The sequence below is a fragment of the Homo sapiens genome, chromosome 9 (assembly GCF_000001405.40).
Source record: "Homo sapiens chromosome 9, GRCh38.p14 Primary Assembly".
In the NCBI taxonomy this organism is placed as follows: domain Eukaryota; kingdom Metazoa; phylum Chordata; class Mammalia; order Primates; family Hominidae; genus Homo; species Homo sapiens.
This window is the reverse complement of record NC_000009.12, coordinates 70975715-70990875: the sequence shown is the minus strand read 5'-3', so window position 1 is coordinate 70990875 and position 15161 is coordinate 70975715. Positions and strand designations below refer to the sequence as shown.

General features: G+C 40.2%; 1 protein-coding gene and 1 long non-coding RNA gene across 15 annotated transcripts in view; one reads left to right on the top strand and one right to left on the bottom strand.

The window, feature by feature from the left end:
* TRPM3 (transient receptor potential cation channel subfamily M member 3) overlaps positions 1 to 15161 on the top strand; it is a 917912-nt gene that overhangs the window by 456096 nt on the left and 446655 nt on the right. The gene's annotated exons all lie outside the window — the stretch shown is intronic.
* LOC124902180 (uncharacterized) lies at positions 3606 to 5666 on the bottom strand. Its single transcript, XR_007061575.1, has 2 exons — positions 5577 to 5666; positions 3606 to 3760 (listed from the first exon to the last, which is right to left on the bottom strand). It is a non-coding gene; the product is annotated as an uncharacterized LOC124902180 (long non-coding RNA).

Genomic DNA, 15161 nt, shown 5'->3' with positions numbered 1-15161 from the left:
GCTTCAGGAAGCCTATGTCAGGAGTGAGACAGTTGTGCTGGTTGTATTTTCAAAGCCCATTTGGAACATGGCAAGAAGAAAACTTAGTAGTTCTAAAATTTGTTCCGCCAGAGGGATGGGGAACATCCCTTTTGTGCATTTTATGCCTTTATTTTGTTTATTTTTAACCACATGTATGTGCAGTCCTGTGTGTGCACTCACACACACAGTTTAAAATGGTGACACCAGTAATAATAAACAACAAATAATAATAAAATAGCCCAGGACTGAGAGAAGTGAATTTTGCCTTCCTTCATTTTAATGCAAACATTTCAAACCCAGGGTGTTTTGGATCCAAGCACATATGATAAAGGAACAGGGATCTAGGGAATCACCGTTCAAGACCTTTTTATCTCATAACTTGAACTGAAAGCTTCTATCTTGTTATAAACTCTTAAACTGTACTGTTTGTTTTACCGTGACTTATTGAATTGTCTGGGCTCTAGGCAGAAGTTTTAAAGCAGGCAATCTCATTCATTTTTACTGCCAATAACAGTGGTGAAGGAGAGGGAATGTTTGGACTCAGTTACTGGTTTTAGATGTATTGTTGTTTCATGCCTGTACATTTTACCACTCCAAGTAGAGACAACATTCTTTGACACGAGGGCCCTGCATCTGCCACCGAACACTGCATTTTGCATGCAGCAGATTTTGAGAGAAATAGTGCATCTTGTCTCAGAATAGAATAGGTATTAAATACACAGCTTGAAAGCCGGAATTTCTAGGTTCTGAACTCCTCCACTTATTAGCTATGTGATTTGGGGCAAGTTATTTAAATACTCTGTAGTTTCCTCATTGTACAAAAGGCATAAGTTTAGAATTTACAGTACCTTTCTCAGAGAAATGTTATGACAGTTAAACAAATTAACACACATAAGGTGCCCTCAATAGGGTCTGGCTAAGGAAGTGTTTAATAAATGTTAGGTGTTATTCTCACTGTTTACATGGGAGAATGATCACATGCTTTCTGTGGAAATAGAGATTCCCATGAGTAGTTGCTTCAGGTTGTAAAAGAGATCATCATGCTTCTATTATATCTAACTTAATTGAGCCTAGAGACAAGATTTATTTTTGTTTGAAGTATATTAGAAGATATAATTAGGATGAATGCCCAAGTTCCTAATCTAAACACTCCAAACCCATTGGGATTTACCTTGAACAACATATAAAGCTTAATGTTCCCTTTTCAAAGAAAATTTTGATCTTGGTCCAGGTCAGAAGGGCAGAAAATGCCAACACCGTAACCTCCATCCTACCCCCACCCCAAACCCTACAGAAGGACTAAGAAAACGAAAAGTCAACAACAGTAATAAGGGAGAAAGCTGTTTACAGTTGTAAACCTTTGGGGCTTGCTGTTTCACCAAGTTAAAAGTTCAGTTGCTGTTGCTTCTAGATTGTTTAGCTAAGCCTGTGGGCAAGATAGGAAGGTTGTTTCACTGTAGAGGATTTATTACAAACTAAAGGAGATGGAGTGAAAGAGGCATACATTTATGTAGTCCTTGGTGATATGTCAAAATAGTGGATATGCTCTTTTTATTTCCATTTGTCCCTTGGAAAATGAAAACCGTCATTTCTTATTTATGTTATAGATATAAGCTTAGGTGTTTGTGAAAAAGACAACAGGAGGAATTTTTTTTCAAAGAATATCATCTTTTTAAAGTATAAACATATGATTCCATGATATGTATATAGTGTATGTGTCCTATCACCACATAACAAGTTATCACAGACTTAGAAACTTAAGACAATGCCCATCTATTATCTCACAGTTCAGTAGGTTGGAAGTCTGGCACAGCATGATTGGGTTCTGCTCAGGGTATCACAGAGTTGAAATCAAGTCAGCCAGTTGCATCCTCATCTGGAGGCTCAACTCAGGAAAGGCCTCCCTCTAAACCCTTTCACATTAGTGTAAAATTCATTTCCAAGTAGTGTGGAAAGGAAATCCTTTTGTCTTGCTGGCTTTCAGTGAGGGACTGATCTCAGCAGCTAGAGGCCACCCTCAGGTCCTTCCCATGTAGTGCCCAGGGGCAGTTTACAACACAGATGCTGCCTTTCTTCAAGAGTTGCCTGTCCAAGAGCATCTCTCTGACATCCTCTTGTGCAACAAGCAAGAGAAAACTCTACTTTTACGGGGCTCATGTGATTAGATTAGGCCCACAAGAATAATCATATTTTAAGATCAACTGATTTGAGGAATTTAATTACATGAGCAAAATTTCTTCACAGCAGTACCTAGATTCACATCATTGAATAATCACTGGCTGGGAATCTTGGAGGCCCATCTTAAAATTCTGCCTACCAAAATACACATATGAAAGTATACAGTGGACGCTCACCTAGCATAGTCAGGGTAAGGGCAGTGGTAGGGAACTAACTGTCTTAGGTTTCTATTCTAGACGAATTGCTGTTAGAAACTTCACAATGATTAGTGTTTTTATGCTCTTAACAGCCCTTCCATTTTACAGGTGAGACAATGAAGGCTTCTTAGGTTACACAGCTAGAAAACAACCAGGCAAGATTTCAAACTTAAGAGTATCTGGATTCAAAGCCTATATGCTTAGCTCTGTATCTGTGGTTCTCAAACATTAGTATGTATTTTAATCAGTGGCAAGCTTTGCGTTCATTTCTAGGCTCTGATTCACTAGACCACAGCCTGAAATCTCAAGAAATTTAAGAAATCTTAAATTTAAGAACTCTTGCTCAATAGCAGTGTTTCCAAGAGATTCCAAAGAATTTCAGTGACTTACATAAGCTTGCTTACTTTACCAACAGATATTTTAACACCAAAAAATTTAGAGGAACATAATTACAGAATATAAGACCATCTTTTATCTCTTTATGTTTCTCACTTTTCTGTGCAATGATAATAAATTATAAGGAGTACACTAATCCAAGGTCTGGCATTTGGGAACCACTGTTGTATACTATAGTTGGAATGTTTTTAATTATTTACATGACATGCATGATTTATTAATTATCCATAAAATAAAATTTTTAAATAATTTTAAATATATGAATACTTTAATACAGTGTTACAAGTTTTGAAACCTCCAAAGACATTCCAGGATCCAACAGAGAATTAATCATTGTTCTACTGGTGTGCAGCAGTACTACTTAATGGAAACTCCTAGTCAATCGATTACTAGATTAACAATATCTTATAGTATGTATATGACTATATTCTCAGAATGATAAAAATGACAGAAAGAACCTCTTTGAACTTGTTTTCACAAGTTCTATTAGGTTGGTGCAAAATTAATTGCGGTTTTTGCCATTAAAAGTAATGGCATATTGATTCATGGAATATTGGGGAATAAAATAGATTTTAGAGACCTTAGGAAAAAGACATAAGAAATGGAAGAATGAAGCAGAATTGTCTAAATGCTCCATATGTTTCAATTACCATCTACATCAAATAGACCACATAGAAGTTGCATCTTACGCAGAGCCTGTGTTCAAAATTCAGCAGGAAATACAAAAATTACATAAAATCAAAATTGTTTTTGAAAATTGAATAAAGGGATAGAATAGACATTACTCTCTTCACTTAAGCACTAGATCAAGCATTTAAGTTTTGAGCCATTCTGTATTTTTAAAATGCCCAACAGTTTTTGTTTATATGGCTGTTTTTGTTGTCATCAGTTGTTATGTTGATTTTGCTGAGTCGTATGATTTCAATTCAGTTTAATGCACATATGATAGAGTTCCACTGTAGAACTTTCTGGAAGAGATAAATAATACATTACGCATTCCTATACTGCTGAATATGTTTACTTTAAATGTAAATGTAAATTAATTAAAATCAAGTAAAATGAAAAACTCAGTTTCTCAGTCACACTAGATACATGTCAAGTACTCAAAAGTCACCCATGACTGAAAGCTACCATATTGGACAGATACAGCACAGATATGGAAAATTTCCATCACCTAGAAAGTTCTATCAGAAGACACTGATCCACTTTTGGTTAAACGATACTCCTTGAGGGATGACTATGATAATAAAAGACTGATATACCGTGTCCTCCTCTGAGGTGTTAATCCTTTCTGATACCAGAGATCTAAAGAGGCTCCACTAGATTATACATCTGTTTTTGCACATTCACATTTTACTCACATATATTTTGGGGAAATCACAAATGCTAAAGAGGTAGATTAATATGGTAGGGGAAAAATAGCTCTGTTTCCAAAACTGGCTAATTCACTTACTAATTTAACTACCAAAAGCCAGTCCCCATAGGTCTCTGGGTCTTTGTTTCCTTGTCTGTGAAATGGAGATAATAATATCCACCTCACATGGGAACTGTCTGCTTGACTTAGATGATTCAAGGGGAAATATCTCAAAGCATCATACAATTCTGAATTATTATAAACTTGTTCTTGAAATGATTACATGCAACCAAGTTTGCATATTTATTAAAGTATAAGTAATAAAGATGTATGAAGTTAAAGTATATGTATATTATTATTAATTTTAGAGACAAGGTGTTCCTCTGTTGCCCAGGTGAAGTGCAGTGGCACTACCATAGCTCAGTGCAGCCTTGAACTTCTGGATTCAAGTGATCTTCCTGCCTCAGCCTCCCCAGTAGCTAGGGCAGCAGTCTTGCACCACCATGCCTGGCTAATTTTATTTAATTTTAATTTTTTTTGGTAAAGATGGGGGTCTTGCCCAGGCTAGCTCCAAACTCCTAGCCTCAAGGGATCCTCCTGCCTTGGCCTCCCAAAATGCTGGTATTACAAGCATGAGCCACAGTGCCTGGCCACATACATGTATATCCTTAAAACCCAACAGCAACCACAGAATTGTCTAGAAGTTAGACCCACAAAGTATATTTTCCTGGAAGGAATATTTTATCATTAACTTTGTTTAGAACTGCCAGAGTGTGATAATAATAAAAAGCAGACTGAATTTTTGTTGACTTTATTTTTGTTTTAAATATTCTCCCTCCATCCTGTCCTTGGTATACCAGGGTATTGAGTGTACTCCACCCAGTGCCTCATTCTCGCTCCAACTCATGGCTTTGTTAGTCTTTTTATAAAAGATTTATTATATTCTGCCTGTAATATGTTTCCCTTCCCTTGTTAAATCATAGATTGCATGAGTGCAGAGATTATATCTGGTTCATTTTTATACCTCCCAAAAGGGCCCAGCACAGTGCTGGCACAAAGTCAGGTCTCAGAAATCACTTGTCTGTTGAACTGAGATTAGCAACAAGTACTTTAGATGAATTTAGAAGACAACTTTTATTTAAAAAAGAAACACAGCATTTAATTATAATGCTTTTGGCCACAAATAATAAATACCTAACTAAAAAATGTCTTGGTTGATACAGACATTTCATTTCCTGCATAACAAGAAGCTTGGAAATATACATACCCAGGGCTGGTTTGGAGCCTCAATACTGCCAGAGCACTGGGTTGCCTTCTCTAGAATTTTGTTGGCCTCTTCCTCATGGTGCCCAAATAGGTGCAGTAGATCTGTATGGCATATCTTCACACCAAACATACCCAACAAGAAGGGAGGGAGGGAAAAGTCTTACCTTCATCCATCTCTCTTTAAGAAGAAAATTCTTTCCCAGACACCTTCCAGCAGAGATCTTCTTAATTAAATTAGTCGGCACTGGGTCTCAGGCTTACCTCTGGCATTTTTAGCTTAAGGACTGTGTAATATTGGCTCCAATTGCCTCTGCTGCAGTACAGCTATCCCTAACCCCCATAGGTAATAATTGCATAATCAGGCCTTCTTTGTGATCTCATGTTCTTTTACTTTCTCCATTTCTCTGTTCTGTTTCTTTGGTACTCCATATCATCTGCTGGTTATTGTTCACATCTGCATGTTAAAATGCATTTAATTTGAGATAACCCAACAGCAAAAAGCTAGAACCTAGGACAAAGATTCAGGAAACTCTGAATGACCTCATATTCTGCAAGGTAAATAAAATACGGATGACATATTAGTTTTCTATTGCTGCTAGACAAATTACCACAAATGTAGTGGCTTAAAATAACATTAATTTGTTCTCTTAAAATTTTGAAAGTCAAAAACACAAAAAGAGTCTTGAGTGACTAAAATGAAGGCATCAGCAGGGCTTGTTCCTTCTGGAGGCTCCAGGAGAGAATCTGTTCCTTGCTTCTTCCAGCATTGGAGTGGGACAGCATTCCTTGTCTCCTGGCCACATCACTCCAATTTCTGCTTCTGTTGTTACATCACTTTCTCCCCTGTTGTGCATAATCCTTGAGAATATCTGTTTTCTGGTCACTGGCCCATTTCACCTGCTAATCCCAGTAGCTTTTATTTTAATGAATCCAGTTAGAACTATATAAAACAGTGTATTCTGTTTTATGGGAAGACACTTCCTTTGAATTTTGTGATTAAGAGAAAGTGTTTGGAAGATGCCAGGGGCCACACTGTTTTCTCAGCAGAACCTCCTGCCTCTCCCTCTGTGTTTACACAAATTTAACCAAATAATTGCATTATTACAACACTGCCAGCCTTCAAATTATAGAACTTCTGTTAATTTAAATTTCAGGCTATTGGCAGAAAGAACTTTAGAATGGGTAATGCTTTTAACACTCTCAGAAAACAAGTAGGGGTAGTGGCTGTTATGTAGCAGGCAATGACTGTATCTGCCTCAGATAAGTCTTCATTCCTCTCATGTTTATTGTAAGTAAACTAAAGTTAAAATTTATGTAGCTTGTTGAAAGCCACACAGAAAATATGTGAAGGACCTGTGAAATAAACACAGTGTGATTCCAGAGCTCACATTCTTGTTAGCATGCTCTAGTGCCTCCTCCATTTCTGGCTCACATAGCTGGACTGAGGGAGCTGAGAAACTGAATATACAAAGGAACCACAGCCAGACCATCGATAAAAATGAACTCTGACCCACAATCTGCAGTAACCACCCCAGGAAGCCAACCTGCTATGTAGAGTAACCAGTCCAGGAAGTCAAACTACTGTCTCTGGCAACCAGTCCAGGAAGCCAAACAATATCTTTGTAACAATAGGCTCTAAACAGCCAGGACTTGATTAATAACTGGCAGCATCTCTATTTTTTCCCCCATTTTCAAGATAGGATCAACTTTGAACAGTCAAATATATGCCCCTAACCAATAACACAGGGTGTCCACTTCTAGCTATCCTGTCTACAGCTTCCCCATTCCAACAGCCTGTAATCAGGCTACCTCTAAAGCCTTTCTGTTTTTTATGGTAAAGCTTTCTCCTTCCTCTGCCTGCCCACAAGTCTCTGCCAGACACAAGTGATGGTGGCTGACTCCCTTGCTCTAGCACGCTCTGAATCAGTGGCCTTTTCCTATTCTTCTTTGCATGCTCTGTTTATTTCCACAGAGGTGTCTAGTAAAGAGAGAGAAAATGCTGGCACAAGAGAAAAATTGATCTTGAATAGAATGAGTTTGATGCCTTTGAAGTATCTAAGTCTGTATATCTGGTAGGCACTTGGATATATTGATTTGAAGGGTCTAAGCAGTAAAGAGTGGATAAAGTAGTAAAAAGTGAGAATATATGAGGTATTAGAACTGATCCTGGAGAAGCTCCTGTATTTAATGGCTTGGAAGAGCAGCATCAACCTACAAAAGAGTGTGAAGTATGATGGGGGTGATAGGAAAAAAACTAGAGCAGTGGGGCCATGAACATCAAGAGAAGAGAGGTTGTAGAAGGAAGTGATTTACAGTGTCTAATGTGGTGGAGAGTTCGGTGGATTTGGCAATATGGAGGTCTGTGGTTACCTAGACAAATGCTACCATGATGGCACAGATTACAGACTCACGGGGTTGAGTAGGATGAAGGGTCAGGAAAGAAAGACTTAAAATTTAGAGAACTTGGCCAGGTGTGGTGGCTCACCCCTATAGTCCCAGCACTTTGGGAGGCCGAGGCAGGTGGAACACGAGGTCAGGAGTTTGAGACCAGCCTGGCCAACATGGCGAAACCCCATCTTTACTAAAAATAGAAAAATTAGCCAGGTGTGGTGGCGGGCACCTGTAATCCCAGCTACTCAGGAGGCTGAGGCACAAGAACCACTTGAAGCTGGAAAGTGAAGGTTGCAGTGAGCTGAGATTGGGCCACTGCACTCCAGCCTGGGTGACAGAGGGAAACTCCATCTCAACAAAAACAACAAAATAATGAGAGAACTTTCAACAAGTTTGTCTTTGAAGAGAGGAGGATGAATATGTGCTGGAAGATAAACTAGGATGTGAAGATGAGAGAGACATACTTAAAGGTGACTAAGGTCTGCACATATTTAAACGTTGACAGGAAGGATCCATTTGAAAGGTGTTAGATGATTCATAGGAGAAGAAAGTGGGTAACCTACCTCAGGTTCTTGAGGAGACTGGAGGAGAGGGACTGAAATCTTAGATAATAGAAGGAACAGCTATTTTAATCTACCAGGAGAGAAGAAGATGAAGACTGTTGTCTAGGTCAGTGGATTTGTCATTTTCAAGAGGGTCCCTTTAAAAAGCTTTGGTTTTCTGATGTGAGATTGGCGATGTTTCAAATAGTCACTATAGAAATTAGGAGAGGTAGTGTACCAGGGAAGTGGTGGAAAGATTACCAGGCAGAACTGAAAGCCCCTTTGAGATTTACATAGTGAATTTATTGTTATACGATATCAGTAAATTGACCCAAGAATGTGAGGTTGTACATTATAACTGACTTGGAGAAATAAGCCAGCTGAGACTGAGAAGGAAAAGAAAATATTTGTAATGAGGTGAAATTGGTTTTGGAGAGTAGATAGGGAGAACCCAGGAGTGAAGTTGGGTGAGATTTAGGTGATGACATAGGCCCAGTGTTTCAAGGTTTGAGAAATGTCAGGAAACTTTGTAAGGTTTGCTTGAGTTACACCAGTATATCAAGGCACTTTAGAATCCATCTGCTCGAGAACATTTTATAAACCTCCTAAGAACACTGTTAGTGTTTTATTGGATGGAGTCCAATTTGTTTGGGGATAATACAAAGATAATATTTCCTAAGGGTCTAAGGTTTTTTTCTATTGCTTTCTTGAACTTTCTATTATGTGTGTCTTAGAAGGAGGAGCTTCAAAATGAAATGGGGGAAAAGATGTTATCATCCTTGCATGATAATAGTTATTAGCATTAATTGAGTACTTACAACGAGCCAGACTCTGCCAAATGTTTGCCTACATTACCTCATTTCATCCTCCCAATACCCATATAATTTAGGACCTATTATTATCATCATATTGCAGTCAAGAAAACCAAGATGCAGAGAGACTGATGACTTGCTGAAGGTGCCTAAAGTGATGGAGCCAGGACTAAAACCCAGTACCTCCTCAGGCAACATTGTGATGTCAGCAAATATTTAGGCACTTCCCAATTCATTCTGCAAATGTCTCCTTTCACACTCAGACCTTGCCTGACACTCCCACCTTTTCAAGATGACATGTCTTCTATCTCCTTTCCAGCTGAGGCAAGAAAACAATCTTTGCTAATGAGCTAATCATGTGCTTCCAGACATCATATTCATAATTTATTAGGAAATTTTCTGCAGGCCTAAATCAAAGGGATCGCACTAATGATGCTTTTACTCTATTTTCAAGCTCTTCTACGCTATAAAACTGCAGAAGAAATCAACAGAACAGTTTTCATATATTATGGCTCTAAAATCAAGACCTCTGAAGCTCTGGACCAAATCACATTGTCAGCTTTGTCACTAGAAGTGAGCAGGTCTGTGGGGATGGGGGAATGAAGAATTGACACAGGCTATAAATGAATCAAAGCTCATGGTAATTTAAAAATCAATCACTTTAATGTGACTCGAGCTTCCCCATCACCCAAGAAAACACGTTCTTGTATGTTTGTGTGAGTGTGTATGCATACTCACATGCATGTGTACATATGTATCGGAATTGCTTTCAATTCCTTAAATAAATATAATACACTTTTCAGGTCCTAAAACATAGGAGAGGATGGAAAGGTGGGGAGAAGAGTCAATAACAGTATGCCTGTCTATAGGGCAAAACAAGCTTGGAAGATGAGGCGAAAACAGCACAAAGCACCCAAAGACTGGGTTCCCACATTTAAAGAATGTTTCAGTTGATCACCTCTGTCCTATTTTCAGAGAGAAGTTCAAGGTAAAGTAGTTAAAGACAGTATGTGTTGGCAGGGGCCAGGGTGCTACTGAGTGAATAAATTAGGGGTGGTAAGTAAAAGAGATGGAAACAGGAGGAGTACAGAAGAATGAGTAAATCAGTCAGATTGGGTAGAGACTGGAGCAAAATAAGAACAAGAAGCAGATGCCTCAGAACCCCGGGGAGCAGCCTCCAGAAGTGAGCAGAAGTAGGGAAAATGAACACCTACACACAGACAACACTGATTAGCTTACTATGTCAGGAACACAAAGGAAAACCACTTCAGAAACCATCTGAGAAAAGCAAAAGGAAAACAAGAACCCTCCCAGCTGGCCTCCTTCGCCTCTCTCTCTCTCTCTCTCTTTCCCCCTTCTGACTGTGATCATGCTGCTGCTCCCTCTGCTCCTCCCATCCTATCTGCTGTCACTCAGATCTTTCTTTTTTGCCCTGCAAAGATCTCTGGAAATCCCAATTCCTCTAGACAGCCTTTTCTAGCTAAATGAAAAGAGGTGTTGCTGATCTCTCCTCCTGGTAGCAGACGGTTGGCACCACAACGCCTGACTCAGGTTATCCTCAATGTAAATATTTCATAACCAGGGCTCCCACCACAGCATTAGCTCTTGGCTTAGTGTACTCCGTGTGTGTGTGTGTGTGTGTGTGTGTGTGCACGCACATGCATGGCCACACATGCTGTGGACTGATTGGGTCCTGCCAAAATCCATGTGTTGAAGCCCTAGACCCTAATGTGGCCAGCTGGAAATAGGGTCTTTACGAGATCATTAAGGCTAATGAGGTCATAAGCATAAGCATGGGGCCCTAATCCCATAGGACTGTGTCCCTACCCCTTCCTCTCCCCCTCCCCACCAAGTGAGGACACAGTGAGAAGGTGGCATCTGCAAGCCAAAGGAGAGAAGCCCCCATGAGAAACAAAACCCTACCAGAACTTCGATCTTGGACTTTTCAGCCTCCAGAACTGTGAGAAAATAAATTTCTGTTATTTAAGCCACCCAATCTTTGATATTTTATTATGGCAGCCTTGAGCAGACTATGACAGTTTGTGTGGGTAGGGGGTGGCTGCAGTTGTGAAGAGTGTTGGTTGAATTTAGGTCACTTATGTTAGAATAAAACTCCCACAAGGCAAGGATTGTCAATTTAAATTACTTACACCAAGGAGCACAGTATTTATGTATGGCAAGTATCTAATAAATACCAGTAAATTCTGCTGTTTCTTTTAATTTGGGGGTGACAAATGACTTCTGCGTGTTTTCCTTTTATGTATACAGTTGGATCCCCCCTTCATGTTCCCCTCTGCCTCCTCTAATGCAGTAGAATGACAAATGAAAATTAGAAATCTAACAATGCATTATATTCACCTTTGTACTTAGCATGAGTGAATCATCCACTTTTCCCATGTCTGTGTCACATATAGGCAAACAATAAATATCTGATAAATGAATGAATGAAATCTCCGCGCCCCATGTCTGGCCAGGTCTGTAGGTTAACGGGCAATGGAATGGCAAATGGAGAGTTGTAACGGGATAAGGAGAACCAATCAAAAGGTATGGGCTGGAAAAGACAAATCATTTTAGCCCAACGGGGACTTTGTATATAAATTGACCTGTCACTAGGATCACGAAGCAGTACACAAATGAACCCTGAAAGTAGTTGTAGTTGTTGAAAATTAGTTCCTGCCCTAGAAAAGTGTTTCCTTGAGATGACTCATCTCAAGATGTCTTCCAGGGCAGTAACACTCAATCTTCTGATTTCCTTTCTTCCCTGGGAAACAAATAAAATCTCTTTTTAGCATGCTTCTCTCTAACATTTGTGGGAAAAGTATCAGTGTGAATAGTTTGAAGTGATTTTGCTCATTTTCCTGTAATACAGGTGGTGTCTAAGCTCGATGCTTTTTGTTGAAGACACTGGCAGGGCATCAGTGAGTGTGTAGCCATGAGACCCACTTCCCCACATAAAACAGCCATCTGCCAACAAAACAAATGTGTTTCCATTTCATACATTGGTGTTTTATGAAACAATTTAAATTATGCCGACGGCACATTAACACCAAGCGAAATGTCTTACCCCATGACGGGAACAACAGTACATTTCCTCATGGAGGCAGTGTTTCAGAAATTTATGTGGCAAATGAAAGCATCGGAAATAACTTCAATGGATGATATCTCTGAAGCACTAAAAGCATCTCTGTTGTGGATGCACTAAATAATTAGGATTGTTGCTGGAAGAGAAAGAGCGTAAGTTTTGAGAAGAGAAAAAAACCCCTAGGAGATTTTTCTGAGTTATGTTAGCTGACTGGAAAAGAGTAAAATATACTGTATTAAAGGCAAGTGGAGTAGTCATGGGCTGGTTTTTCTTACACTTAACTGGCTGAATTGCATGTGCTTTGCTCACTGGACATAAATATATAAGCAGTCAATGGCCCTAAGAAGCATCAAAACATTTTTCATTTTGTATATGCAGGTTAGTCATAGCTGCGCTACAGCTAGCAGTGGCTAGATGTAATTATAAGAAATACGTATTTGGCAGGTGTTCCTGGTTCCTAACACAAAGCTTCTAAAACCCTTGGAATTTCCTGGATGACAGGAGCATCTCTCGTCCTAATGAGGCCACTGTTAGAGGGCCCCTAGGTAGCTTCAGGATAGGAGCTGGTCACCAGAAGGACCGAGGCATGATTAGAGAGTTGGGACTTTCAGCCCCACTCCTCAACCTCTGGGGAGGGGAAAGGGGCTGGAGATTAAGTTAATTACAAACACCTAATGATTTAACCAATCATGCTTTCATAAAGCCCCTAAAAATGAGATTCAGAGAGCTTCTGGGTTGGTAAATACAACAAAGTGCCAGGAGGGTGGCACACCTCGAAAGTGCATGGAAGCTTTGTGCCACTTCCCACGTACCTTGCCCTATACATCACTTCCATCTGGCTGTTCCTGAGTTGTGTTCTTTCTAACAAACCAGCAATAAGAAGTAAGGTGCCTTCCTGAGTTCCATGAGCTGTTCTGGCAAATTATTGAACCTAAGGAAGAAGCTGTGAGAGTTCCCAACTTTACAGCTGGTCACTCAGAAATAAAACTGACCCAGACTGACTGTTGGTGTCTGAAATGGAGGAAGTCTTGTGGGACTGAGCCCTTAATGTGTGGGGTCTGTGCTAACTTCAGATAGTGTCAGAATCGAAAGGAATTACAGGATGCCCAGTTGGTATCCAGAGAGTTGGAGAATTGGTTGGTGTGGGACAAAAACCACTTATTTGGTGTCAGAAGTGGTGTGGGTAAAGAACAGTTCAGACTGGGCCAGGCGTGGTGGCTCACGCCTGTAATCCCAGCACTTTGGGAGGCCAATGCCGGGGGATCACGAGGTCAGGAGATGGAGCCCATCCTGGCTAACACGGTGAAACCCCGTCTCTACTAAAAATACAAAAAATTAGCCGGGCATGGTGGCGCGAGCCTGTAGTCCCAGCTACTTGGGAGGCTGAGGCAGGAGAATCACTTGAACCCGCGAGGCGGAGGTGGCAGTGAGCCGAGATCGTGCCACTGCACTCCAGCCTGGGTGACAGAGCAAGACTCCATCTCAAAAAAAAAAATAAATAAATAAAAACAGTTCAGACTGATGCACCCCTTTCCCCACCAACATATGGCAAAAACATAGTTTATAGTCTTTGTATCACATATGTTTCTTAAATATTTTTTACCCTTCATAAAGTTCTGCTGTGTCTTTCTCTCCTAAAAATAAAATCCCCAGAATGAGAGAGGAATAGCACTGTGGTGATTCACAAATGAGGAAATGGAGACTCGAAGGGGTCATTCAGAAACCTGCCCACTGTCCATCAGTGGCAGCACCTGGTGTCCTTTGTTCTCAGGCAAGGACTCCATTAATAACTACCACTTTTGAGGCAGTCACTAGACGTCAGTTTGCTGGTAAATTATTTCATTTAACCTTCTCAATAATTCAGTGAGATAGGGACTATTATTTTGCACATTTTAACAGATGAGGGGATTGAGGCATAGAGATGTTAACCCTGCCCGAGATTGCACAGCTACTGAAATGGGGAGCCAGGCATTTCCTGTAGGCGGTCTGGCTCTCAGATTCCAGGCCTTTAACCACTGCATCATACTGCCATTTTAAAGACATAAACACTTAGAATACGTTCTTAAATTGTAGTGTACATAAAAATTTCTGGGAACCATGTATTCAGTAGATCTGGGCTGGGGCCCACACTTTAAGAACACCTCTACTGTCTAGACGTTATAGTTGAGATGGGCTAGGATTCTTTTGCATCTCTTTACTCCGGCATATGCTTTGGACATTCTGCCTAGTAGCCTGGTGTCCAGGGAACACTCACCTTCCATGTGTGGATGTTGTTGAATGGAGTAAAAAAATCACTAGCTGTGTGACCTTCTGGTAGGAGAAGTTGAGTTTCCCTGTTCTGTTTTCCTTCACAGTGAATAAATCCTTCATTTCCTGAGGTTTTGGCTCATGAGAGGATGCTCAATCCACCTTGCTCCTTCTTGACCCATGTGTCATGCTGAGTTGTTCTGCACCAGGAATGAGAGCATATCTGTGTTCTCCTTCCCCGTACTGTCCAGGGAATCTCACCATGGATAATCTTCACCACACTGGGAAGAGACTCATTTGCACTAAGTGATTGCACTGAAAATACGTGCTAGATGTAATTAAATGAGATTACCCATGAATTCTCTCATGCTGGGAATGGAGATAGGGGCTGGGGGAGGAAGGATAGAAAGAAGGGGAATTAAAATGTGCCGTATCCACTATGCTTGACGCTTTGGGTAAATTAATTGAATTCTCACAGCAGCCATTCAAGGAGCATATTATCCACCTTCTTACAGATGAGGGACCTGGGCTTTGAGGAGTTAGGTAATGTGCCGAAGTTTGCACAGCTAATAGATGACAGACTTGACATTTTATTCCACCTTATCTGGTTCCAACGAGTATGTTCCTTCCATAATACCATGCTGCCTACTGAGAGGAAGGCTGGCCAAGATAGGA